Genomic DNA, 24,348 nt, shown 5'->3' on the forward strand with positions numbered 1-24,348 from the left:
AGGAATTTCCCATCCACCCACATATTTTCTCTCCTACTTGCCTTTGGATTTGCCCTTAGAGAATACAGTAGAGGCATGCGCTAAAGACAAAGAAGTTTTAGATAGCTGGAGTGGCTTCACAGGGGCAAGAATGATAGAGGGAAGTGTGAAGGGAATCGGGGGAAGGGAGAGAGAAGCTGGCCTAAGGTGAGCGAGGGAGCTGTCCAAGGACCGAAAGCATATCCCAGTGCATTTCAAAGTTTTCCTGCTTTCTGTTGAGCTAGGTGTGCATCCCCACTCACAACCTTATCTTAATAGTGACAATCTCTGAAGGCATTTATTTAAAGCCCTTGCTCTGGAGAACCAATCCAGGAACTCCTTAGATTCTGAGCAACCCTGTATTGTGCTCAAGAAGTTGGGCCCATTAAACAATGAAATGAAGGGAGACTGAGGAAAGAGAGCCAGGCCTCTGGTCAGATGTGAGCAAACTGATCAAATAAGGAAAGAATCTCAGGTCCTCTACTCCTCCACTGTCCTGAAGCCGCCTTCCATGGCTGTGATCCAGAGAACACTCAGAAGAGGGCTTGGGTGAAGCTAAACTGGGTTTTAGATAACTCCTGGAAAGGGGATACTTTTGCAACCTCCTATGCCTTTGCCTTCTTCATCTTTGTGAACATTCCCACTCTACACAACCTCAGACTTTGAATGCAGCTGTGTTCTGGCAGATTTGTTTTTACAAAAATGATACTGACCTCAGGAAAGGAAAAGATAAATAAAAGTTATTACTACTTCCTAGCTTCTCTGCAGAGCATTTGTGATTTGGCTTCTTCCAAAAGACAGCCCTACCACAATGAGTTGGCCATCATTGGTGATGTTTTTATTCTTGAAAGGGAATTTACCAGAGATCCAAAAATGCAAATTAAAACAACTGTGAGATACCAAGAGCAAGTTGGTGGATTTTTTTTTAAATGGTAGCACTCAGTGCAGAGGATGGAGGTATCAGAGATGGTGGCTAAAAGCAAAAGCCTCCAAGTTAGACAAACATGGGTTTGTCTCCCATGTTTCCTGCTAACTAGGCACATGGCTTTTGCTAAGTTATTTATTCTAAGTCTGGCTTGTGCACCCTTTAAATGAAGAAAATAATACATTACGGCATTGTTGTGCAGAATTCACAAGATATGTATGTAAGTGCCTATCCTATTGCCTAGCACGGTGGGGATGATATATACTGTGGGTGATTGCTTGACGGATATCAAGGTCCTTACCCTTTGACACATTAATTAACTTGTGAGGATCTAGCCTGAAGGGAAGAAAACATCTAAACAACTACAACAAATGATTCATGCAATAATATGCTCATAGCAGTGTGACTGATGGATGAATCATTAGAAATGTGCTACTGGTAGAAGTTTGGGGACTGCTATTCATTTTCAAGAATACAAGACTGTCATAAACAAACATGGTTGGCACCTACGGATGTTCTTCCAGGTAGAGGCTTTTGGAATCAAACCACTACGCTGCTCTGGAACTGAGAACTGTACTGCGTATCTAACTCTGCCACCTGGCCACTTCTGTGGAAAGTTAAATTCAGGTAGCCATTCAGGTTAGGGCATTCCCCTTGTGGGATCCTTACCTTTTTTTTGCTATGCAAAGAATAATCTTCTTACTCTTCTTTTGGGTTCGATGCACACTTAATATTCCCCATGACCAGTCCTTTCATCTACTCCTCATCTATGTTATTGAAAATACTTTTACTAAGTTAAATATATGGCCCATGTCACTGCACTGTTTCTAAGTTTGAATGAAAACCATTCAGGAAGCATCAGAGGGCTTTCAAGCTCTGCCTCTCTTCACCTTTCCAGACTTACCTCCTTTATGCTACCCGGACCTTCCTGTCCCACGAACTACTTAGAAATGGCAGTTTCCCTGGAATTTCATAGGGATGCTGTTTTGCTAATTTCTTCAAGCCTTTGCTGAAAATGCTAGTCAAGTTACCCCCACTCCACCCCTTTCCTAATTCCTTCCTTTGTTTTGTTTTCCTTCGCATAACCTTTGCTTGTCCAGTTATTTCTCCTGTCCGGCTCCCGCTGGAGCTAGTATCTATCCCTTTTTTAGCACGTTCCACATTGTGAGCTTGGCACATAGTTGACTTGCCATAGGTATTTATATAATGAGTAAATGTAATTATTTTTACGCCCCTTAGAAAGTGTGGATACTTCCATCCCCCTTCCTTCTGGGACTCTCAGATGGCCCTCTTTGCAGATAGCATTGTGATCCTTAACAAATGAGCGGAAAACGATCTTGTGAGTGTGTCTGAGCAAAGCCGACATTTTTTTCTTCTTTAAGATCTTGCCGCTGAATGTGGAATGATCCTGAAATTAAGGTCAGCTCCAGGTGGTTGTTTATATCAGCTGTCAGATTGCGGAATAAAAAATGGCTTTTATATGTTTGACTTTTATTGTTTTCCAGGGCAATGTCACTTTTTCCTGCTCCGAACCACAGATTGTGCCCATCACATTTGTCAACTCCAGCGGCAGCTATTTGCTGCTGCCCGGCACCCCCCAAATTGATGGGCTCTCAGTGAGTTTCCAGTTTCGAACATGGAACAAGGATGGTCTGCTTCTGTCCACAGAGCTGTCTGAGGGCTCGGGAACCCTGCTGCTGAGCCTGGAGGGTGGAATCCTGAGACTCGTGATTCAGAAAATGACAGAACGCGTAGCTGAAATCCTCACAGGTACTGTCTGCTGACACTCTGGATCAGCTTCTTGTTTATCCAAGTCGACAAAGGTTGAGGTCCTGACAAAAACATACAGAATCCAAATCTCAGGGATATGGGTTAGCCCAGTATTCACAAATGTACTCCAAGTCTGAAGAGGCAGCATTTTTTTTTTTTTTTTTTTTTTTGAAGATGGAGTCTTGCTGTCCCCAGGCTGGAGTGCAGTGGCTCGATCTCAGCTCACTGCAACCTCCGACTCCTGGGTTCAAGTGATTCTCCTGCCTCAGCTTCCTGAGTAGCTGGGACTACAGATGCACACCACCACATCCAGCTAATTTTTTTTATTTTTAGTAGAGATGGGGTTTCACCATGTTGGCCAGGATGGTCTGCATCTCTTGACCTTGTGATCTGCCCGCCTTGGGCTCTCACAGTGCTGGGATTACAGGCCTGAGCCACTGTGCCTGGCCAGCATTTTTTTTTCTTAGTAGGAAGCAAAACAAAAAGTGAATTTATAATTAGCTATGTCAACTTTGGTTAAGTGCTTAAATTTCTTAGTCTCTTAGCAGTCTCATTGGAAAGATGGGAATAAGAATTCTTACCTGGGAGTATTTAGCATAATCTAGACCATTTATAGAACTCTCTGCTAGGTTCTCTATAAACATGGCATGTTTCATATGGAATCTTCACCATGCTTACGGAAGGAAGTTACTATTTTACACTTAATAAATGAGGAAATCAGAAGTCATGGCAATCACTTCAAAATTCCACGTTCCTAAGTGATGGAGCTGGGAATTTATCCTGAATTTGCCTGACTTCCAAGTCTATATTCTCCTCTTAAACCACATTACCATGGAAGTTTGTATAACCCCTAAATTCTATTTCAAGTAAAAATCAGTAAATTTAAAACCATTTAAAAAATATATATGTATACATATATATTTTAAATGTATTGAGTAAATGCTAGTACATATGACACCAGGGAATGGGAAAACTTTTAAATGGTCCTCAAATGGCCAAAATTTGGGAAACACTGATTCATTGCCATGTACTACAGATCTTACTGCCTAGCAATACACAGCAGGTCGGTGAACAAATTGTATTTCTGGATACCCTGGCTCCTCCAGCTGCTGTTTCTTCAACATGAAACAGTGGAAGTCTCTCTCTCATTCTCTGTTATGTTACCAATCTCTGATGTCCTTCAAGCAGCGGTGTATTTACTAAGTTGACAAATACTCATTGAGGTCAAATCTCACATGCCAAGGATTGGGCAGGGATTGGTCTGCAGCATGCTGATCGATGAAGAAGTTCTTTCAGAAGTCTCCCTGAATAAACAATCTGAATAAAAACCTCCCTCTGCTTTTCACCGCAGGTCAACATCCATCATGGATTATACTACAATTTAATTTAGATGCCTTTTTCTCAACTGGACTGCATGGTTCTTTTATCCAAGTAGATTAGCAAAAATTAAGTTAAATTGTAAAGGATATGACTTAATAGTTGTCGACCTAAAAGGAAGAAGCCAAGGCAATATTAATATAAGTAGATAGTTTATTTGGGCCAAGCTTGAGTATTGCAACCTGGGAATATAGATTCAGGTTGCCCTGAATGTATATTCTGCTCTGATTAGCTGCAGTTAGAAGCAGACTTTTAAAGAAAAAAAAAAAAAAAAAGAGGCAGTTTCTATGTTGTTTATCAGAAATTTACATTAAAATCATACCAGCTAAAGATTGCCTGTGCATTGTTCTTTGTATCGCAGATTCCAGGAGCAAGAAGATAATGGGTGAGGCAGGTAGTCAGGAAAAAAAAATGACTTTAAACAATTGCCTGGAGCATGGGTGCCTTGAGCTCAGGGGAAGGGTGTGTGACTGAAGTTTCATACTCATGCCTCTCTGGGCCCAATATACTTTGCATCACTCACATAGTTCAGACTGCTCTGAGCTGTTTTTCTTTTCTCATAGTTATGGTCATGTCAGACCGTGGGAGACATTCAAATGTCCATAGTGAACAAAATGGCCCACTGAACCCCTGAGCATAGCAGAAAGGCCTGAGTCTGGAAGTCAGGCAGTCAAGTTTAAAAGTATTAATATGTTTTCTCCTTCCTTTCCTGTGGCCCTGGATAAACTTTGTCTCATATGCAAACTGAATTGTATTAGTTATCTATAGTTGCATATCAAGTGACAGCAATATTTAATGGTTGAAAACATTTTTTATTATGTCTCAGTTTCTGTGGATCAGAAATCCAGGGACAACTTGGCTGGGTGACTGGCTCAGAGTCTCCCATAAGGTCACAATTGAATTGCCAATGGGGACTGAAGCCATGGCAAGGTTCAATGGAGGAAGATCTGCTTCCGCACTCACTCATGTGCTCAGGAAGGCCTTAGAAAATCCACTTCCACATGTAGGGAAGTTTACATTTTTACCCTCAAGTTATTTGAGAATAACTTGAGTCTATAAAAGAAATGAATTACAGACAAATTAACAGGAAAAAATGCACACACATTTTATTACATGCACACAGGAGTCACAACGACATACAAAATGTAAAAGCCCAAAGAAATGGCAGATGGTTGATGCTTTTATATCACCTTGAGATTATAGAAAGAACTGGCGTTTAGAGCATGGCCAAAATCACGTTATGGGCCAGGCACGGTGGCTCACACCTGTAATCCTACCACTTTGAGAGGCCAAGGAGGGCAGATCTCATGAGCCCAGAAGTTCAAAATCAGCCTGAGTAACATGGCAAAACCCCATCTTTACAAAAAACTGAAAATTAGCCGGGCATGTGGGTGCATGCCTGTAGTACCAGCTACTCGTCAGGCTCAGGTAGGAGGATCAGCTGAGCCCAGGGAGGCCGAGGCTGCAGTGAGGCATAATCACGCCGCTGCACTCCAGCTTGGGTGGCAAAATGAGATCCCATCTCAAAAAAACAAAACAACAACAACAACAAAACAGGTATGGTAGTAAATCAGGTTATGATGGCAAGACAGGTAATTGAGGGGAGAGAAAAGGAGGTTCTGTTTACCAAGGTGGTCTTAAAATGTAGGTGAAGCCATACAGGTATCAGCCCTTAGAGAGAATAAATGACAAATGTTTTTTTCAGACTTTTAAATGTTTGGACTCTCAGTCCTCGATCCATACAAGGGAGAGCCTTACAGAAAGCCTTGTTGTAGCAATGCAGGTTTTCTCTACAGATGCAAGTCCCCCACAAAAGACAGCTTTGCAGGGCTACTTCTTTTGGAACAGCCCTCTCAAAATATGTCAAAGAAGTACATTTTGAGGTGAAATATTTTAGTTTCTTTCACAAGCTTCCTCATGAGCCTCTCCAGAAGGCTGCCAAGGGTGAGTGAGAAAAAGCACCCAAATAGAAGCCGCAGTCTTTTTATAATCTAATATTGAAAATGGCATCTCGTCACTTCTGTCATATTCTATTCCTTAGAAGCAGGTAAATATGCCCAGCTTGTGTCCAAATGGAGGGGATGACATCAGGACTTGGATATTAGCAGGCACAGATTATCCAGGATCATCTTAGATATTGCCTATCACAAGAGATAAAAAAAAAATTATGTTGGTGCTGGCAATTAAATGAGGTAGTATATCTCAAATACTGAACAAAGTGTTGAGTAGCTATTTAACACATTTTTCTTCCTTCCGTGCTGACTCAAGAGATACAGCTAGAAGGGGCCTCTTTCTAGAGAGTCATAAAAGTTAAGAATGAATTTGTGCAGTCAGACGATTTTTATAAAATTTATTAGATTTCCAGTAATGGAGGTGAGTTAATCACTTAGAATTGTAATATTTTTTCATGTTCCAAATTATAAAAATTAAGCCTCAATCCTCCTTATTTGAAAAAGAAAAACGTGAGCTGGCATTGAGCTGTTTCTCTATCGGTGAGATGTTTTTGAGTACAGAGACTTGTAGGCCTCAGGTCAAAAATGAAGTTTTAATACAAGGAAGGCCCTGGCAGCACATTGCTCTTAAAAATCCAGGTGCTGTCTGTATTGTTAAGCGCACGTCAGTCCATTAAAATGCATTTATGACTGAAAGAGAGCCTGGTAAGAGCTGCCACCTTACCCAGCTGCAGAAAGGGAACAAATCATCAGTTATTTCAGACCCACCTCTCAGAAACTGAAATAAGCAAAAAGAAGTTTTTAAAATGTGCAACCAGAGTTCCAAAAACTCTTGTATAATTCTCTCCTAAGGAGAATTTCTATGTTTTTGGAAAATTTGAACTTAATGTTTTTTAGAAAAGGATCAAGGTTTTGTGTATTCTTCGATTTTCCCATCTGGGAGGAGGAAGAACTAACAAATAATCAAACAAAAACAGTTTTCTCTTTCCTTACATTTCTGAGGAAACTTGTTTTCAAAGTACTTGAGCTTATATTGGCTTTAAAAGAAGATGAAAATCTCATATGAACAATGAAAAAATAATGACAATTGTTCCAATAATTTTTGAGAGTCAACGGGGCTATACTTGATGCTTGGTATGTCCCAAATGGGTCAGAGAATGCAGATAATCAAAGGTTTATTTGAGACTAGTTCTAACATCCTGGATCTAAAAGAGAAGGTAATTCCTTTGGAAAGGGCAGTACAATGATGCCTCACACCTTCAACCCTGTTCCCCGAGCTTTGTACAGTGTGCTTGGCTTTTTAGGAAGGAAGTAGTTCTTATTTAGGGATTTTTGCATTGAAGATCAAGGAGAGACTTGCAAAGTAAATGCATCCTCAAAATAGAAGGCATCTGAATTTAGTTATTCTAGGGATGAAGTTTCAGGAAGATGAAGGACAACAGTGGAATCTCTTTCTTGTATTTTTCTTTGTTTTCTATTTTTGTCATCTCCTTTTTTTTTGCAAGCCTTATGTATGTATGTATGAGGAAAGGTAGAAGACCTCATTTCACTGTAAGGGATGTGAAAGTAGAACCAGCAGCCATTGTAGATCTTCTGCCAGTTAGGCATTGTGCTAGGGGCTTGTCATACAAAACTGTAAAAAAACTCATAAAACTTTATCAGGCGGTTAGTATACCAACATACATAGAAAGAAACTGAGAATATGAATTTAAGTTAAAGTAGCCAAAGTGATGTTCAACCTCAGCTTTTTCCTTAGAATTCTCAAGTTCATGGTCTTTACACAGTATCCTGCTGCTCTCCATATTCATTGTGCATACTGTCCATTGCTTAAATAACTCAAATGTAAAGAACCTCTGCTTTTACATCTATAGATAATCTACAGAAGACTCTTAAGGAAAGTGGCTATTTAGGTCTAAAGCTGTGTCTTTCAAAAACAGTTTCATGGTGGTCTTATACAAGAATAAGACTTGGATAAGACCTTGGGATTCACACTAGATTGGAAGTCTGTTGTCTTTATAAACTTCTGTGTACTTTAGCTAAAATTAACTGTATAATATTATTAAGTAAATAATACAGGAGGCTGAGGCGGGTGGATTGCTTGAGGTCAGGAGTTCAAGACCAGCCTCACCAACATGGTGAAACCCATCTGTACTAAAAATACAAAAGTTAGTTGAGTGTGGTGGCGCATGCCTGTAATCCCAGCTACTTGCTACTCGGGAGGCTGAGGCAGGAGAATCACTTGAACCCAGGAGGCAGAGACTGCAGTGAGCCAAGATCCTGCCACTGCACTCCAGCCTAGGTGACAGAGTGAGACTCCATCTAAGAAACAAACAAAAAAGTAAATTATATATCTATATATCTATATCTATATCTATATATCTATATATCTATATCTATATCTATATATCTATATATCTATATATATATCTATATATCTATCTATATATATATCTCCATATGTCAACACACACACACACACACACACACACACACACACACACACAAATATTCATTGGCCACTGCACTCCAGCCTAGGTGACAGAGCAAGACTCCATCAAAAAAACAAACAAAAAAGTAAATTTTATGTATGTGTATATATATATATATATATATATATATATATATATATATATACATATATCTCCATATATCAACACACACACACCAACATTCATTGAGAAAATAGGTCATACTTTCTTCAGACTCTTTTTTTGGTGCTCAGTACTGATTCCTTAAAAGGATTATCATCTAAGGATGAAGGCTGCCAAGTGACATGAGGTCTACTTCAGTAAGGGCCTGTCTACTTCTAAGAACATTGCCCTGCTTTCTGCAGGCTTTCCCATTCTAATTTTCCCCGTGCCCCATGAAACAAGATTAGATCTCTCAGAATTCAAACTGAAAGATCTGATCCATGTGGAAAGCCATGAGTTTCACTAGAGCAGAGAACACCTTCTAGGAGTCTTGCTGGACTGTGAACCTTATCTGAAAATCCATTTAGGCAATTCTCCAATGAATGAGCAACTACCTTGATAACCTAATTTATATATTTTAAGCTCCCAGTTCTTTCTTACTTTTCATAAGGTACCAAGTGCCATGGGGACCTCTCACATGGTCATGTGGTCATGAGGCTCTCTCAAACTCCATACCCTTTCATTGAGCAATAGATATCATGTTCTATTTTTAATGATGGATGTGGTTGCCGTTTTAAAGGCTTTTATGGAGATGCTTAGAATGGAGTTTAGTATTTTTCAAAACAACCTGAATTACTAAGAAAACAGGACATTTCATAAAGGTAAAGGAGACCACCTGGTTTGTTTTCTTAGGAGGAATAGGGCAGACTGTTTTGAATGTCATATGAAATCATAAGCAATCTTAAGAGATAACCGGCACCACTCTAATTATCTGAAAGGGATCTGACATTTCAATGTTATTTTTATTTTTCCGATGGGAAAATACAAGGCAAGGAGAATCAAAAGAAACAGGCATGGAGTTTTAGCTTAAGTTTTTGTTTGTTTGTTTGTTTTTGTTTTTTGTAGTGCTTCTCAAAATGTCAGCCAGTCTGGCCAAAGAGCTTGAACTCAGGCTTCAGTGGTTGTGCGTCAGCCTACCTGTGCTCTAATCAGATGTAGGACATGAGTAAGTCTTGTTCCGTTAGCCTCACTGTCCTCATTTGCTGAAGGAGAGGATCAGTCTAGAATCATGGATGCTCCCTCCAGCACTATTCATGATTTCTTGAGAGAAAACAATAGGCCAACCCACCCCTTATTATCTTCAAAGAAATCATCAACCCAAGGCTCTTCTTTTGAAACTGGCATAAATGGTCCTGAATGATTGGGAGTACCCAGGGCCAAGCCCCTTGCCAGAGGTCATGCTACCCAACTCCCAAAACTCTGGTGCACTTTGTGGAGTCAGAAAAGTAAACTTAGCCTATTTGATACCATGAATTTTGTGGATGAGTTGCTTGCATGGTCTTAAAAAGGTTATGCTATGACTCTTCACAACCTGTAGAGAATTAGGAGACAAATATCTAAACCTGAATAGGGTTTTTTTTTTTTTTGCAACCTTCCTTAAATGTGTATATGTGTGTGTGTGCGCACATCTATGTTGGTAGGAGGGTTAACAAAATATATTAGGTCTTCAACCTATGTTAGTAGAGGAACAATATTGGTTGTAGGTACTGAAGCTATTTCCTGCAGAGAGAAATCCAGGCAGAGACACAGCAAGGGTCTTTGGCTGTGGGACCGGCTTTCTTATAGCTAACGGTTGGTATATGTGAACATCTCTTTAGAAGGCAAAGCAAGCAGCAGTGAGGCAGGCAGAGAGCCCACTTTGGATTCCATTAAAGCATCTTCTCCCCAGAGCTTCCTAGATGCACAGTGTACTGCCCTGATGTCACCAGAGGCATCAAACTCAGCCTGGGATTTTCAGTATTAAAGAGTAAGTCTACATTTTAAATACATGGTTTTGGCACAATAAAATGAAATCCAGAAGGGTGGGTGGGGGGAGAATCCAAACTAAGAGATCTGACCCTGGCGCTGGCACCACTTGCTCATTATTAGCTGAAAAGGCAAAAGGTGAAGCTAATCACCTGGGACAGACAAAATCTCTGGACAAAAGGTGACATGGACAGCAAAGAGCCAGAAACCAAGAAAATACCATGAAAAAGTGTCTATAGTCAAGGCAAATGGCTTATCGGAGGTGCCATCTCAGCGCATCCCATTTAATTCCTAGGAGCAAGCAATAGTGTTTATCATATTTCCTCAACCACCGTATAACATTTCACTCTTTCGATAATTCCTTGAACAGTATTAGTTAGAGATAAGGTATTCCAAAACAAACAAACAAACAAAAATGTAAAAAACATTTAAGCCATCCTTTTTATCAGTTAATTTTCTATAGCCAGTAGACTTCTGTGACTGGCTTGTTCTTTCTCTAGCTTGAAATATGGTGAGATTCTCAGATCAACAGCCATAATGAATGTTTTTTCTGATGATTATTGAGCATTGACTACATTTACATTAAATAAAATATGTCATCCTGTAGCTATGGTCAACATGACACCCTTAGCTTTCAGAATTTAATCTCAATTGATATTTTCTCAAGAAACCTTTCCAAGGCAGGCCAGGTGCCTTGTTTCTTTGGTTTTCTTCTTTTTAACGTTTGTTACTAAGTATGTATATGTATGTATTCATCTGCTCAGGCTGCTATAAGAAAATATCACAGTCTAAGTGTCTTAAACAACAGACATATTTTCTCAGTTTTGGAGGCTACAAATCCAGGATCCAGATGTTGGCAGGATTGATTTCTTCTGAGGGCTTCTCTCTTTGCTTGCAGATGGTTGTCTTTTTCTGTCTTCACATGGTCTTTTCTCTGTGCATGTCTGTGTTCAAATAGCTTCTGCTCATAAGGACACCAAACATATGGAAACTTATTTTACCATAATTACCTTTTTAAAGATCCTGTCTCCAAATACAATTGTGTTTTTAGGTATTAGGTGTTGGGACTTTAACATACGCATTTTGCAGGGACACGATTCAGCTCATGCAATGTATATTAATATGTCTATTTCATTGTTGACCAATGCCCTTCTCATCACTAGAATGTAAGCAACCATGGAAACAAGTACATTATTTGCCCAAGCCTTGGTCCAACACCTTGCTTACCACACGTCTTCCATAACTATTTGCCACACGCATGAATACACTAGTGGAGTTGACCTCTAAAACATTTCTGAAAGATAGAATTTTAACAGGGAAAGAAGAGTTAGTAGTGATTTTTAACAAACAGTCCTGTTACAACAATTATATGCCGCATAATGTGTCAAACCCAGGAATGAGTTATACTCAGGGGGGAGTACTAATTAGGTAAAGGGCAGGGGAGCTCCCAGAGGTAGGGAGATGGCCTGGAGAGCTGCATCGTGCAGGATGGAAGTGCTCACTCTGTGGAATGCTGGCAGCCAGGTGGTTATAGGCTACGGCCCTGCAGTTAACAGAGCTGATCCCCAAATATTGCCCTTTCTCATAGAAGCCATTTGTAGCTAGCCACCATCTGCACATCAAGTAAACATGACGAGGCCGCAAGCTTCATCCTCTGCTTCAATTAAGTTGTCATTAATGCCTCGGTATTTGAGCTAAGATAATGTTAATGAGAAAATCCCATTAGCAAGGGCAAAAAAGTGGATAGCCACAGGGCTGTGACTGTCACAACAAGCTGTCTGGTTTGAGTTTCAGAAGATAGTAACATGATATCACAACAAGCACAGAGTTCGAGTTTCAGAAGATAGTAACATGATGAAGCATTTCGTGTTATGGAAAACTGAGAAATGCAATTGCCTGAACTTTAAGATACCAAGCAAAGGTTGGAAATGTTTACCAAAGTAGTGATTTCTTGGGCGTCTTCAGCTTTTTAAGTTTGGATAATGACAATGGAGACATTGTATTTCTTAACTCACTGTTATTTTCTCTGTCTCTCACTCAAAAGAGGAATTGCAGGAGATAGAATTTTTTTTTATCATAGATTAATCTTCTTGTCAAACCTGCTATCACTTCCCTTTTTCTTTTGTATTTTTTACTTTGACAATTTTCTCATGTAACTTGAAGTTCCTCTCATTGGCTTTAGGAAACTTTTGGAGTATCTACTCTGCACTGGGTACTGTGGTTGAACCTGGGAAGGAGGCACTGCCTTCCAGGAGCTCATAGGCATGGTTGGAAGAGACAGTAAAGAGGCATTAATGAATAATAGAACATGTGCCTGGGACACTGGGGAAGCACTGGGAAGAGGCAGCTGGATAGGTGAGAAAGGGAAGACTTTCTAGAGGTGGGGATATCACAGCTTGGTTCTTAAGAATGAATAGAATTTGGCCAAATATGGAGGGAAGGAAAGGATGCTCTAATAAGAGAAGAGAAATAGAACGAGAACCAGAGGTGTAAGACTATGGAAGCTTAGCTGCCTGGGGCCCAGATGGCAAAAGATGAAGCAGAGTTTTGGTCAGGGACCCCAGAGTTTGTGCTGTATCTTGGAGAGAATAGGGAAATAACTCTCTTGAGTTTAGCTTAATGGTTAGCGTGTGGATGTTTGATCTCAGCATTCAAGTCTACCAAGGAAACCACACTTTCACCATCAACCACAAATGCATCGTGAGTTCCTAACAGACCCTAGCGGATGGCAAAGCCAGATGTTTTCCCTTTATGCACTGATCAAGGCTTTTCAGGATCCAGGTTACCTTGAAATATGAGCCAGGCATTAAACGACTAGGAAAGGTTTAACCTGTGATTTATGGCTAATGCTCACATGAGGGCCTGCTTCTGACACTTGGCAGTGGAGATTCAGTTGGTCTGATGCTCAATCCATCAATGAACCTTGGAGAGCGCAGAATGCTGCCCTGCTGATACTGGGGCAGAGCGGGGGGTGTCCCAAAACGTGACTCAAACTCTGACCCCCAGGTACCTGTTATCCCACTGGGAAGAGGAGACTAACATGGACGGATTGTTAATTAATACCACAAGGCAGTAAATATTATGAGCTAAACAAATAGATCAGACAGTGGATGCTATAGGAATTTAGAAAGAGAAATCACCCTGCACTATTCTAGTCAAGGAAAACCTGCTTCATTCGTTTCCTGATTTATTAACTTACTAATTTATTCAATCAATCAATCATTCATCACGTTTTATATGCCCTGCACTGTGCTAGCTGGCTGTGATAGAAAGTAATAAAACATATGTTCTCTGTCTGTACAGTTTAGGAAAGAATTTGCTGACACGAAAACTTGGCCTTGGAAGATTGGGGGATGGATTTTGATAGCAGGAAATGGTAAGGGTAGCGTATAGGTGGAGCAGAGGCTGGGTATGGAAGCCCCAATTCACTAAGTATATTTACTTGGAGCATAATGAACACATGGTCCAGCTGGAGCAGGGAATTCTTGTAAGGATTTTGGAAAATAGCCTGAAAAGACAGAGGGAGACTTGATTAGAGAAAGAGTAGATTGTCCAACTAAGCAGTGTGATTTTCATTCTCTGGGCTCCATGACCCAGTGGAGGGGTATTTGCTGTGAGGTCCATGATAACCTTGCTCTTTAGGTAGTTGGATCTAGCAAGGTGTCCTCTATCAGAAAGAGACAGGAGGCTGGGAAAAGAGGGGGACCACTAAAGAAATTTCCAGCTTCAGGGATAAGGAATAGAACAAAAATAAGAGAGGGAATTTGAAGGCATATGTGAACTCAATCTACCATAAGTAGGGAAAAGTTAATCGAATTTGATAGCTGATGGATAAACAGTGTGCCAGGAAAACATAACTCAGGCTCTAAATTGTAGCATAATGGTACTAGTAATCGTAATATACTCTTCTACTATGTAACTGACATTTTCAGACTTCCTTATTCAATTATTCATATATTGCCTACTTTATTCTCACAAAAGTTGACTGTGAGACAGTCAACAAAAGTTGACAGCTACCTTCGAATTGTTAAATAAGAGCATGTATGAGAGGACATAGAAAGGCCATTGAATTGAGTTTTCTGGGGAAGATAAAGCCTAGAAACTTTCAAGTCAAGCCAATCTATTTTGTTTCCATTTTACAGATGATGTAATAGGTTTAGAGATATTAAGAAATCTGTCTAAATTTCCGGAAATTTTTAAGTGTCACGCACTTGAGCAAGGAATAACAGGTGAATAAAGCCATCAAGGAAATCTGTAACAAGTTATCTCCAGGGTTGGAAACAGTCTTTAGGGACTATGATCTGGTTTGGGCTGTCTTTTTGCTCTTGTGTGTGGCTGTCATGGCCTAGGGTAGTCACAGCTGACACTTAAGGGCCCTGAACAGCCACTTGGTTACAAAGGTTCATTGACACCTTGCAACATTGATTATGATCTTGCTTTTTATTTTGTCTTCAAAACATAAAAAAAGATGTCAAAATATGGTGACAATTGAAGTGCAAAGATCTGTTAGAAATTTTATGGAGGAATTGGTGGGGTTAGAGAGAAAGAGAGAAAGAGGTACAATTGAGAGCCAGAGTACAAGAGTGTGTCAAGGCTCTGCAACCTCAAAATTATTTCTTTAACTCAATGGTTCTGAGCCAAGGGAAGATTTCCATTCCCACCAAACTCACCTTTTAGCCCACCCATCCTCCACATGGTGAAAAAATGTGCTGTTGGTGATGGGGATTTGTAGTGTTGGTGATAGGGTTGTGCTGTTGGTAATGGAAGGTTGTGGCATTGATGATGGAAGGTTGTGGTATTGGTGATGGAGTGCTGTGGTGTTGGTGATGGAGCATTGTGGTATTGGTGATGGAGTGTTGTGGTGTTGGTGGTGGAGGGTTGTGGTGTTGGTGGTGGAGGGTTGTGGTATTAGTGATGGGAGATTGTAATGTTGGTGATGAGGTGTGGTGGTGGTGATGAGGGTTGTGGTGTTGGTGATGGAGGGTTGTGATGGTGATGGAGGGTTGTGGTGTTGATGATGGAGGGTTATAGTGTTGGTGATGGAGGGTTATGGTGTTGGTAAAGAGGGGTTGTGTTGTTGGTGACGGAGGGTTGTGGTGTTGGTGATGGGAGCTTGTGGTGTTGGTAATGGAAGGTTGTGTTGTTGCTCATGGGAGGTTGTGGTGTTGGTAATGGAGAGTTGTGGTTTTGATGATCGTTCTTTGTGGTGTTGGTGATGGAGGGTTGTAGTGTTGGTGATGGAGGGTTGTGGTGTTGGTGATGGAAGATTGTGGTGTTGGTGATGGAGGGTTGTAGTGTTGGTGAAGAGGGGTTGTGGTGTTGATGATGGAGGGTTGTAGTGTTGGTGATGGAGGGTTGTGGTGTTTGTGATGGAGGGTTGTGGTGGTGATGGGGGTTGTGGTGTTGGTGATGGAGGGTTTTGGTGTTGGTGATGGGGGCTTGTGGTGTTAGTGATGGAAGGTTGTGTTGTTGCTTATGGGGGGTTGTGGTGTTGGTAATGGAGTATTGTGGTTTTGATGATTGTTCCTAATGGTGTTGATGATGGAGGGTTGTAGTGTTGGTGATGGAGGGTTGTGGTATTGGTGAAGAGGGGTTGTGGTGTTGGTGATGGAGGGTGATGATGTTTATAATGGAAGGTTGTGTTGTGATGATGGAGGGTTGTGATGGTGATGGGGGATTGTTATTACCATCTAGTGAGCAGGCGTGCTGCTACACATCTGACACAGGAGGTATACCACAAGACACCTACTCCTAACAAATAATAAGCCAGTCCAGAATACCCAGGGCCAGTGTTGAGGAACCCCACTTTAAGCCCAAACCCTACTCTTGTAAAACAAATTTAGGACCTTAGAATATCTCTTAACTGTTCTGAGTCTCAGTTTCATCAAGTGTGAGCTATAAAGGGCTGTGGAGATCTCATTATCAAAAGCATTTTAAAAGACATATTATATGCTCTGTAACTATTTTTTGTTTTATCTAGAAAGATATATCAAAGTAATAACAATTGACTAGAATTCTAATTTCTGACATAAGTAGACATCCTGAGAAACAAAAGTTGAATTTTCATTTAATTATTTTCAGAAGCTAGGTGATTCACAAAATAACAGAACTAAAGTTTGAAGTTGGTATTGTTAAAAGCGAAGTCATTTGGTGGGAATGTAAAGTAGTGTAGCCACTTTGGAAAAATTCTGGAAGTTCCTCAAAGGGTTAAATATGGAATTGCCCTATGACTGAGCAATTCCAATTCTATATGCACACCTAAGAGTATTGAAAACATGTTCATACAGAAATGTGTACACAAATGTTCATAGCAGCATTATTCTTAATGGTGCCCCAAGTGGAAACAATTCACATATCCATCAACCATAAAAACATACTTAATTGACCAGGTGTGGTAGCTCATGCCTGTAATCCTATCGCTTTGGGAGGCTGAGGTGGGTGGATCACTTGAGGTCAGGAGTTCAAGACCAGCCTGGCCAACGTTATGAAACCCCATCTCTACTAAAAATACAAAAAAATTACCCTGGCGTGGTGGCGGGTGCCTGTGATCCCAGCTACTCAGGAGGCTGAGCCAGGAGAATCGCTTGAACCCAGGAGGCGGAGGTTGCAGTGAGCCAAGATCATGCCACTGTACTTTAGCCTGGGCCGCAAAGTGTACTTTAGCCTGGGCCGCAAAAAAAAAAAAAAAAAAAAAAAAGTACTGATTCATGCTACGTGGATGAATCTTAAAAACATTATGCTAAGGAAAAAATGCCAGTCAGAAAATAGAGCATAATGTATGATTTTATTTATATAAAGTGCCCAGAATAGGCAAATCCATAGAGGCACAAAGGTAGGTTAGCGGTGGTTGGCCAGGGCTGGAGGTGCAGGGATAAGGGGATTGGGAGACAGTATATCAAGGTTACAGAGTATATTTAGGGGATGATGACATGTTTTAAAAATTGATTGTAGTGATTGTATAACTCTGAATCTATTAAAAACCATTGGGTTTCACACTTTAGATGACATATATGGTATGTGAATTTTATCTCAATAAATCTGTTACCAAAAAATAATAAAAATAAAAGCAAAGTAGAATTCAGTAGCAGAACATAAAACTTTTCAGAGCTTTTTGGTCATCAAAGAGATGGCAGGAGCAGGGCAGGGCTGGCTGGAGTTGCCAGCATGATGAGCAAAAGGAGCTCAGCTCCAGTACCCACACTTCCCTTTGAACGCTGGCTCTGCCTCTGAGCAGCCATGGGGCCCTGTGCAGCCTCTCCACTTTTCTCTGTTACATCTATTACATGAGGGCAATCAACTTGACCTCCAGGACTATTGTAAGAATTAGGAATTACATTATTTAAAGTGCCTGGCACATTATAGGCATTTGTTACTGGTAGTGTGATATATTATTAGCTATTTTTACAACTGGGGTATTTCAAAGGTTCATTTGCAAGTTCAGTTGGAAGGATGAAAACTGTCATTCTTTTTTTCTCTATGGAGAAAATTTTCCAAGTCTTTATTTGATTCCTAGGAAAGCGCAGGGCAGCCTATTTAACTCTCTCTCTGTAAGGAACCCTTTATACTGATGCCCTAGGCTGAATTCCAGCACCTGAGAGAAGCCATGAGAACAAAAGTGAAAAGGACAAAAAAGTTTTCTGTCTTTTATTTCAGCTTAAACAGTTTATCAGGTTTTTTTAAGATTATAAAAAATGTACATTAAAAAACACTGAAAATTCCAGTATAATATAAAAGAATCTGTGATTCTGTCATTCTACATTATTGCAGTGTTTTTTGTGGTGTTAGTTTTTAACAAGATGGGAATCATGCAGCACGTCCTATTTATTTAGAGCTTTTCTCTTATCAAGATATCAGTAGCATTCTTGGACATTATGATGTTTAATGACTACATTATATACCATATTAGGAATAAACCATATTTGCTTTAGCTAGCCTGCTACTATGGGAAATATGGGTAGCAGTGAATTTTTGCTATTGTAAATAATGGTGTCAAGAACTACCTTCACCATAAATCTTGGCTACAGCTCTGTTACTATTTTAGAAATAATTCTTCAGAATAAAATTCACAGGAAATGAGGTATGACATTCTTGGGATTTTTGATACTTACTGGTGTATTGCCTTCCAGAAAGAATGTGCAAATTTAGGCTGCCACGAACAACATATAAAATTGACTGTTTCCCTCTATTCTCATTGAGATTGAGCATAATCAGTTTTTATCCTTTATTAGTCTGGGAGATGGCAAATAATACCCAACATGTCTTTAAAGTTCAGAAATTGTATGTTTGTCCTCATCTGTTTCTGGAACCCAAATCCCATCTTTTAGGCCTCAGCCCCTATATCATGGGGGTGCTTAGTGCCCCATATTGGCCCTCAATATCCTGCTCGTCTCTCCTAAGATAATTTTTTTCCCCCATCAAGACATTCTCGGCCTAAAAGGTGTTGCTTTCCTGTTCTCCTCATTGGACACGTCTATTCTTTCAAAGCCATTTATCTCAAGGAAGTTTGGGAAAAAAGCAATCTCATAAGGTGATTTCTCCCTAACTTGTGAATAATTAATAGCACTTCCACTTTTACCTTTAAGAGAGTATTTTTAATAACAATACCTCAGAGAGTCTCTAGGGATGTTATTTTGGATCTGTTAACAGAATGAAGTGAAAACGAGGACCAGGTGAAAGTGGAGATTTTTAGCTGGGGATGTACCACTTCACTTGCCTTGAAACCCATGCCTGGGCAGCTCTCCTGGGCGGGTCCCAATTTCCCAGCTTCTTTCCTTTCTCTTCTGACACCTCCAATGACATGGCTCCTGACCCTGGCTGCAAACAGAATCCAAGGGACCTTTGAACCTTCCAAGTCCTGGGATAATCCCCAGAAATCTGACTTAATTAACCTGGAGTGAGCCCCAGGTTCTGTATTTTCAAAAGCTCCCCAGGCAATACCTGCATTGAGAACTATTGTTCTAATAATTTTCCTCCACAGAGCTAAACTTTTCACCCAGGCTCCCACTGCAGGCATTGGGGAACATGTAGGAAAAGACCAAATTAAAGAAAGGGCAGACCAAAAAATAAAAAGAAAAAAAGAAAACCACCAACCAAGCAAACCCTCATTATGTGAAAACTTGAAAGAGAGACATAGATGGCGATGTGGGGAGAGGACAGGACCCACAATCACAACAGATGATCCTACAGACTCCCATTGAGCAGACCTCTCCCCTCAGGCCAGTGCCATCTGTAACATGAATACATGATAGATACCTAATTCGAGGGGACACTCACTGTGGCCTCTATAAATACATTCTTCTCTACTGTATCACTGATGCCTAGCAGGGTGCTTGGCCTTTAGGGAGTATTTAGAACTTTTATTCTGAACTAGTTACTAACTCCCTTCCAGTCTAGAGTTTACCTGCAAATGCAGTCCCATATGTTATGCAGATGTATTCAAATGAGTATGCAAGTGAAAGTTTTTAAAAAGGACTTACAATTGACTGTGCTCCCCAAATACCCCTGAAAGAAGTCAAATGTTCACCAAGACACACCTGACAGATTCTCTGTCTCATTAGCAGAATCCCTGTGGCCAGGACACAAACCCTGGTCTTGTCTGAGGACAACTGCCTTTGGGAGGAAGTGGGGCCACCAGGCTGAGAAGCCTCTGGGTTCTCTTCTTCACCCCAAGCAGATGTTCAGGATTGCAGTGATCTGGCTTGAGAGATCTGGCTGAAAACACATCAGGTGTCCTACATCTGGGATGCTCTGAGCAGATGGGTCACAGCTGCCCAGGTGCAAATACAGCTGGGCTCCAAGCCTGGTGCTTGTTTCTCCCAGGGCAGCCTCTCCAGCCAACTGGGAGCTCAGGGGTACCGGCTCTTCACTTGCCACTCTGACGGTCTGGCACACCTCTGTGGTGATCCTCAGTGTTTTCTTCCCAGCTGGCTGCTTTGGGGCTGCTCTGGTAGGCTCTACCAAGGCAGGTCTATTTTACCTGCAGAAATAGCTCTGAATCCATCACTTACTTTGCATTTTCACTGCTGCTACTTTTGGTGAGATCCTCTCATTCCGCCTCCTGGGGACTCTGCAAGCAGTAGGACCTGTGAGTTCTGCCTCTAGCCTTGACCCCTTCCAGCTGCTATCATTGGCTCTTGTGCTGGCTGATTCTTTGAATAAACACCTCCCACCCTGATATTACCATCCTAGAGAGCCCTCATGGAGTCCCATGTTCTAAAGCTGTAATTTTCATCTCTGGCTGCACATTAGAACCACCCAAGGAGCTTTTGAAAAAATGCGGATGCCTGGGGCCCATGCCCAGAGATGCTGATGGAATTGGTTTGGGAAAAGTGCTCTTCAGAATAATTTGTCAAAGGATATTGTTTAAAGTCCTCCTGGTATGTGAGACCTCTGGGTGATTGGATCCTCTTTCTAGCTGCCTTCATATTGTCATCTCCTGCTTCTCAGTCCAGACCTTTGTTTCTTTATACAGGCTCTCTGTCTCCTGGAACCCTTGCTCCAAGAATTACAAACTCTTGCTCACTTTCCACGACTCCCCTTAACTGTCATCCACTTCAATGAAACATTCTTGGGATCCTCACATGGAGTTAGTTAGGCTTTCTTTCTTCTCTGCTCACATATTGCTGTTCCACCCAGAATTGCAAGAGGTGGTGTTGTTTGCTTACTTCTCTGTCTACCCCACTAGCCTGAACTCAAAAGACGTTATTTTAATCCTCCTTGCATATGTCTCTGCCTTTTAACAATGGACTACCCTAGGGTAGAGATCATGTGATGTTAATATCCATACCCTCTAATGACAAAGACCATCTCGTATTTGCAGCTCTGTTCATTTTTTAAGCTAATATGACTGCCCACATATGATTGAAATGAACTATTCTGCATACACTGCTGGACTAACTGGCGTAATTCTCACAATGGCCTGTTAAGTACAAACATTGTCCTCTTTGCAAGCGAGGAAACTGACACAATGAGAGGAAAGACAACTCAACATGTAACAGGGCACAATAAATGACTATTTACAATTTAGAATTGTGTGGCTGTGTGCTCTTGCCACAGAAAGTCTTTGTGACCAATCAGTTAATATGACTTTATTTTCTCAGCAAGCACTTTACACCACCAGGACACAGTCTTAATAGATGATAAACTCTTTAAAGGAAATAGTTGAAACCTCATGACTAGTTCCCAAAACAGTTTTTTCAGTAAGGTAGGTCAGCAGCACAGGGTACAGCAAAGACAGCTGGAGCAATGGAATAGGAGAGAAAAGAACCTTACAAAAGCACCCACCTTTCTCCCAGTGCCTTTAGAGAGTGTCGTGCCTCATTTCATTTGATCCCTTTAACAATAATAAGGAATAGGAATCATAATATTTACAGATGATAAAATCAGAGCTTAATGAAAGTGAGTAACTTTGACAATGTCTCCTAATTAGTATGAAAAACGCTGCAATTGGATTATATGTTACCTCTCTCCAACAGGAGGCTGCCTCTGCCTGGCACATCATTGGAATCTAGCTTTCCTCATCTACTTTAAAAATAGCTTACTTTTTCCTAAAATTGTAGGAAAGTATGAGAAAACCAAAATTGCTCTTAACTCTACCACTCAGTTAAAATTGCTGGTAATATTTTGAGTTCGTTTATTTTTGTTTTTTTTTTTTCCTCTGCGTTTATACAACAATAGATCAGAATACGTGACATAACTTTGGTTGTGGTGTGTACAACATTTTGTATTTTTCCCTTTTGTTTTAAAACAAAACATATCAGAAGTAGTTCAGCCGTCTTTTTTAAAAAAGAGATTAGAATGAAGTGGCAAGAAGAGGAAGAACAATGCTTTTTATGAATCTTCCAAGGGCTTGTATCCAGCCGAGTGAGGAGTGGGTTTGCTCTGAGAATGGCATGGACGGCAGCAGGCTGGGAAATGAGCCCCCTCTCTCTAAGTCTTCTGGACCCATCATCTCTATGCTTACTCTCTTGTTTCTCTTGCAGGCAGCAACTTGAATGATGGCCTGTGGCACTCGGTTAGCATCAACGCCAGGAGGAACCGCATCACGCTCACTCTGGATGATGAAGCAGCACCCCCGGCTCCAGACAGCACTTGGGTGCAGATTTATTCTGGAAATAGCTACTATTTTGGAGGTAAATTCTCCAGTCTTTAAGAGGGAAAATTAAGAAGGGAGGGAAATTTAAGTGGGCAATTATTTCACTATGATGGTTCTGGTTTGGTCAATTAGACAATTCTCCCAACACACAAACACACACACACATGCACATACACACACACCCTCAATCTCAAAATAGTGAGAAGCAAAATCTCTCACAGCTGTGTGCAAATATAAATTATCTAGGTCAGTGCTGAGGAAGAAAAGAACTTTAGCTACAAGAGCTGGTGTTATATAACACATCCAAAGGAGATTTTTGTAGCCATGCCAAGCCCTGTAATCACATGGGAAAGGAGAAACTCAGCTGAAAACTTGGAGAAAGTGTATCAAGAGTCAGCAGTACCTGCAAGAGGCAAAATTCAGGTGGAAAGGCACAATCAGCATGCTTAGCACCCAGGCCCTTCCTCTGCCACTTTCCTCTCTTAGTCTCCTGTCCCCTCCTTCCCCACATCCCTAGAGGCCATGCTCGCAGAAATCCAGGAATGAGGAGGAATTAGGAGGCCCATGAATTTGTAACTCCAGGTGTAGAAGCCAGTTCAGATTATTCACATTCTGCCTTCTCTGATGTTAAGTGAGTCCTGGGAACCTTTCCAATGACAAAAACACAAGGGCAAGCTGATGGTGAAGAAAAACATAATTAGGCATCTACTGATTTTTTATAAATGCATATCTATATATATGTATTTAGTCTTTCAAAAGTATTTTTCATTAAAAATTAATATCTAATTTCATAGTTGTTTGTATTATAGAAACAGTCTCTGAAAAGGATTTAACCTCAATAGCTGTCTGACCTTGAGAAAGATACTTATAGTCCCTAAACTTCCTAATCTGAAACACGGGGAAATAAGCTCACCTCCAGAATTTCTGGAAAAGTTAAGTACGACCAAGGTGTAAGCATATGGCAGAGTGTGCCACATGGCAGGGGATGGGGAAACTGGCTCCAGCTCCTATAGATATAAGTCAGGGTCTGGTCTACAGTTTCCTTATTTTTTTCCTATTAGTAAATTGAAGAGAAGTATTGTATAAAATTATGCATAGTCTCTTAAATAGAATTTACAGATCACTTCTCTCATACCAATGGAATGTGGTTAAAGCTTTAAAATGCAAAAGGGATTTTGCACATGTGCAGTGTACATATCGAGGTCTCCTAGGAGGGAAGCAATATCTCTGTGGCTTGATTTTAGGGTGAGGAAGGGCCTGTGACCTTTACCTCAAATGTCCTCCACCTGTGCATGGATAACAAATTCCTTTAGGGAGGGAATACACGTCCAGTCTCTGCAAAAGTTTTTATGACTTAACCTCATTTAATTCATGCAGAAACCTTGTGCAGTAGGTAATATCCCCACTTAATAGATAATAAGACTGGTGTTTGCTGAGATGAAAGAATTTGTGCAAGGCCATAGAGCTCATGAATTCAATTCCAGATCTGTGTTCCCACAGCCCACCAGTGAAAACAGAGATTGGAACAAATGTATTATAATGATCGTAGAACAAGGGTGTTGGGGTCCGAAAAGATAACCTCACAGACCGAATAATTTTGCATCTTATGCAATATTTCAGCATCAGAGGAAAAAACGCTATCTTGCATTTATTCTTGAGGGAAATGTTTGTAAATAATTCTGATACAATAAGCATCCAACATGCCTCAGAGACAAAATGGCTCTCCTCCCTCAGTTGAAGAAGCGTTCTTAGAGGCAAGTTTTAAGGGACCCTGGG

At 40.7% G+C, this 24,348-nt stretch overlaps 1 protein-coding gene across 3 annotated transcripts in view; it reads left to right on the forward strand.

Annotated features, from left to right (window-relative positions):
• The window catches only part of CNTNAP5 (contactin associated protein family member 5), an 895,933-nt gene that overhangs the window by 476,557 nt on the left and 395,028 nt on the right, over window positions 1-24,348 (forward strand). For all 3 annotated transcript variants that reach the window (NM_001367498.1, XM_017003316.2, NM_130773.4), the window contains exons 8-9: window positions 2,449-2,713; window positions 22,460-22,609. In NM_001367498.1, the coding sequence (NP_001354427.1) occupies window positions 2,449-2,713; window positions 22,460-22,609 (415 nt within the window). The remainder of the gene's footprint in view (window positions 1-2,448; window positions 2,714-22,459; window positions 22,610-24,348) is intronic.

The sequence above is a fragment of the Homo sapiens genome, chromosome 2, assembly GCF_000001405.40.
Source record: "Homo sapiens chromosome 2, GRCh38.p14 Primary Assembly".
In the NCBI taxonomy this organism is placed as follows: Eukaryota; Metazoa; Chordata; class Mammalia; order Primates; family Hominidae; genus Homo; species Homo sapiens.